This window comes from Homo sapiens, chromosome 2 (genome assembly GCF_000001405.40).
Source record: "Homo sapiens chromosome 2, GRCh38.p14 Primary Assembly".
Lineage (NCBI taxonomy): Eukaryota > Metazoa > Chordata > Mammalia > Primates > Hominidae > Homo > Homo sapiens.
Window position 1 is genome coordinate 105171930 of NC_000002.12, and position 4703 is coordinate 105176632.

A 4703-nucleotide genomic window follows, 5' to 3' on the forward strand; every position below is an offset into this window, starting at 1 on the left:
CAAACTCCACCTCCCAGGTTCATGCCATTCTCCTGCCTCAGCCTCCCAAGTAGCTGGGACTACAGGCACCTGCCACTACGCCCGGCTAATTTTTTGTATTTTTTAGTAGAGACGGGGTTTCACTGTGTTGGCCAGGATGGTCTCGATCTCCTGACCTCAGGATCTGCCTGCTTCAGCCTCCCAGAGTGCTGGAATTACAGGCATGAGCCACTGCACCGGGCCAGCAGTCAAATTTTAAAGCTCCAAAATGATCTCATTTGACTCCAGGTCTCACATCCAGATCACACTAATGTAAGAGTTGGGTTCCCATGGTCTTGGGCAGCTCTGCCCCTGTGGCTTTGCAAGGTGGAGCCCCTCTCCCAGCTGCTTTCATGGGCTTTTGTTGAGTGTCTGCAGCTTCTCCAGGCGCGTGGTAAAAGGTGTCAGTGGATCTACCATTCTGGGGTCTGGAGAATGGTGGCCCTCTTCTCACAGCTCCACTAGGCAGTGCTCCAGTAGGGACTCTGTGTGGGGGCTCCAACCCCACATTTCCCTTGTGTGCTACCCTAGCAGAGGTTCTCCATGAAGGCCCTGCTCCTGCAGCAAACTTTTACCTGAGCATCCAGACGTTTCCATACATTTTCTGAAATCTAGGTGGAAGTTCCCAAACCTCAATTCTTGACTTCTGTGCACCTGCAGGCTCAGCACCATGTGGAAGCTGCCAAGGCTTAGGGATTCTACCCTCTGAAGCCACAGCCCAAGCTGTACATTGGCCCCCTTCAGCCATGGCCCAAGTGGCTGGGACACAGGGCATCAAGTCCCTAGGCTGTACACAGCACAGGGAACTTGGGCCCAGCCTATGAAACCACTTTTTCCTCCTGGGCCTCTGGACCTGTGATGGGAGGGTCTGCTGTGAAGGTCTCGGACGTGGCCTGGAGACATTTTCCCCAGGGTCTTGGGGATTAACATTAGGACTTGCTACTTATGCAAATTTCTGCAGCCAGCTTGAATTTCTCCCCAGAAAATGGGTTTTTCTTTTCTATCACATAGTCAGGCTGCAAATTTTCCAAACTTTTTTGCCCTGCTTCCCTTATAAAACTGAATGCCTTTAGCAGTACCCAAGTCACCTCTTGAATGCTTTGCTGCTTAGAAATTTCTTCCACCAGATATCCTAAATCATCTCTCTCAAGTTCAAAGTTCCATAAATCTCTAGGGCAGGGGCAAAATGCTGCCAGTATCTTTGCTAAAACATAACAAGAGTCACCTTTGCTCCAGTTCCCAACAAGTTCCTCATCTCCATCTCAGACCACCTCAACCTGGATTTCATTGTCAATATCATTATCAGTATTTTTGCCAAAGCCATTCAACAAGTCTCTAGGAAGTTCCAAACTTTCCTATATTTTTCTGTCTTCTTCTGAGCCCTCCAAACTGTTCCAACCTTTGCCTGTTACCCAGGTCCAAAGTCATTTCCACATTTTTGGGTATCTTTTCAGCAATACCCCACTCTATTGGTACCAATTTAATGTATTAGTCCGTTTTCACACTGCTGATACAGACATACCTGAGACTGGGAAGAAAAAGAGGTTTAATTGGACCTACAGTTCCACATGGCTGGGGAGGCCTCAGAATCATAGCAGGAGGTGAAAGGCACTTTGTACATGGTGGTGGCAAGAGAAAAAGAGGAAGAAGCAAAAGCAGAAACCCCTGATAAACTCATCAGATTTCATGAGACGTATTCACTATCACAAGAATATCATGGAAAAGACTGGCCCCCATGATTCAATTATCTCCCCCTGGGTCCTTCCCACAACATATGGGAGTACTAGGTGATACAACTCAAGTGGAAATTTGCGTGGGGACACAGCCAAACCATATCAACTACCTTGTTCCACTATCTACTGGTCCAGCACAGCTCACCACCAGGTACACGTGGCCCAAGTGAAACAGAAGAATAATACGCCTCTCCCCTTGAAAGTTATCACCCACGAGTAGCTCACATCCTTTTGCCTAGAACTTGGTCACACGGCCATGCATAGCTGCAGGGGAAATGGGAAATGGCTTATGCTCAGCTAAGACTGTGGTTCCACAGTAAAGGAAGAAAGGGTGAATAGATGGGGTGGGGAAGTCTTTGCAACAGAAGGTGTGGTACAGTTTGGGACACATTGAGTTTCAGGTGACCACGGTAATTTCCAGTGGAGATATGTGCAACCCAAAAGAGAATTCTTAGGGGGAATGTTGGACTTAGGAATTATGATTGTCATTAGGAAGTCACCAGGGTTTGATCAACGGAGGAACCCAACTGACCTGGAATCTAGGAAGGTGAACGTTGCATGTATGTCTTTTGCAAGATCAGTTGGGAAAAGGCAAGGCTGAAACTGGATCATTTAAGAGCTGCTATCGTGATCTTGAAGACTTTGCAGGGAAATGGCCACAGGACTTAGCAACTGGTTAGATAGGATGGAAGAGGCAGAGGGGGGAGTCCAAGGTGACTCGAGGTGCTCAGCCTGAGCACCTTGGCAGGTGAGATGCAGTTTACAGAAAAAGACAGCCAGAAGGAGGAACAGCTCTCTCACACCATGGTGGATGGGGGCTGGGAGGGAAGGAGGAAGATTAGCCAATTTTTAGATATTTTAACATGAGGTGCCAAGAGCCAGCCAGGTGGCAATGAGATAAAGGCTAGTGCAGAGCTTAGACTCAGTGTCAGAGTTCAAATGCAGGTTCTGCCACTTCTTAGCCATGTGACCTCAGGCAAGTATTTAACACCTCTGCACTTCAGAGTCCTCCTGGGTAAAACAGGAATAATAAGGATTGTGTACATGCGTGTAAAACAGGCATGGAGTAGGTGCTAGATATGTTTGATTTTATGATTACAAGGGATAATAGTAAGTTGTGTCACTGGCAGTTGGAAAAACAAGCCAGTAACTCCAGGCAGGGGTTAGAGGTAAAGATCTGGGAATTTCAGCACGGAGGTGGGAGCGTGTAAGATCCCCAGAGTGGGAGCTGGCAAGTGGCAGCACATGCCTGGGGAACACGCAAGTGTTAGGGGGGCCTCCCCAACACTCCCCCACCAGGCATGGTCTCTGTACCATAGATCTCTCACTTTCACAGCTCCTACCAGCCTCTCCCTCTCCATCATTCAGCTGATTGATGGAAAAGCCCATCTCCCTTAGACGCCATGGGATCAGGCCCCATGCTGAATCCAGCCCAGCCTGCCAAGCCCCACACAGAGTAGGTGCTCAGTAATTTTTTGTTGTTTGAAGGAACCAGGTGCCAGGGGAAGGGGGAGGATTTTCCTGAGGGTTGGGGGAGTCTACAAATATTTGTGTGCCAAACAGAACTTCATGGAGAAGAAAACATTAGGATGATGTTGAGGGGAGAAGGGAGGGTTAATATTGCCAGCACTGCCCACAACTTAACAGCAGCTGTGCTCCACCCTAAGGCTTATTAAGTGTTAAAATGGTTTTGCTGAGGAGGAAATGCGGTCAGCCAAGTGCATCTGATCACATAAGCAAGTGAAAAATATGCAGCCAATGTAGGGAATGGCTGATTAGAAGCCAAAAACACACACACCTGTGGCTTTCCTCGAGGTCTGCTGGTCATCTTCCTGGTGCTTATCCACGAAGCCTCAGGGGGACACCCAATAACTCCGAGCACTTATTTATTTGCAAAGGACTGCCAAGTATTTTACAAACATAATAAATGACTCTGAGGGCAGAGGAATGATCCTGCTTCTCTTCCAAGAAGGAGGAAGGCACAGTTGGGCACTCAGTGTCCTCCTCCAAATAATCCATCCTTGTCAAAGCAAGGGTGGATGCCCCAGCTTCCGGCTCTCCAGCTGTGACTCCACCACTGAGCGAGAGCAGGAAGGGCTCCTAGGCACTGTGGAGGGCTGCAAGTTGGTGCCCCTGAGTTCACAGATTCACATGTTGAAACCTAAGCCCCAGTGTGACGGTGTTACAAGGCAGGGCCAGTGGGAGGGGAACAGGTCACAAGGATGGGGCCCTCAAAAATGGAATTAATGCCTTCATAAAAGAGGCCCCTGGAGAGCTCTTTCTGCCATGTGAGGATACAGTGAGAAGGTGGCTGCCTGCAGCCCCAAAGAGAACCCTGACCAGAATTTGACTATTGCTGACTTCCTGATCTTGGACTTCCAACCTCCAGAGCTGTGAGAAACAGATTTCTGCTGTTTATAAGCTGCCCAGTTTATGGTACTTTGCTATCACACCTCAAATGGACCAAGACAGAGGCCATCCACTCCAACCGCATGCTCTCATCTTAATGATGAGGAAACTGAGGCTGTCAGGGCGATGGGTTGGGCAGAGAGTAAGTTCCACTGAGTACCCACTCTGTGCCTGGCCAGTGCTAGCTGCTCCTTCATATGTCCTGCAGAGAAGCCTCATAAATATTTTCTGTAGCTTGTTGGAAGCATTAATATGCATAGCTCAGTCAGTGAAGGCAAACCTCCATGGCCAGTTATTGGCAGAGCTTTGGCCCAAACCCCAAGTCCGCGCCTGCTGCATCCATCGGGAGGGGCAAGGTGATGCTGCGGAAACAGCCCATAGAGTGACAAGGGGCTGTCTATAGCTCATGCTCTATGTGCACCATGGATTGGCAGGGGCTCTTTTCTCTGCTGTCACCTTCACATAGGAATACGCGAGGGACCCAGACCAGGGGAGGTGCCACCTCTTAAGTGCCAGGAGAGGAGAAGGAAGAGAGTGACTTAC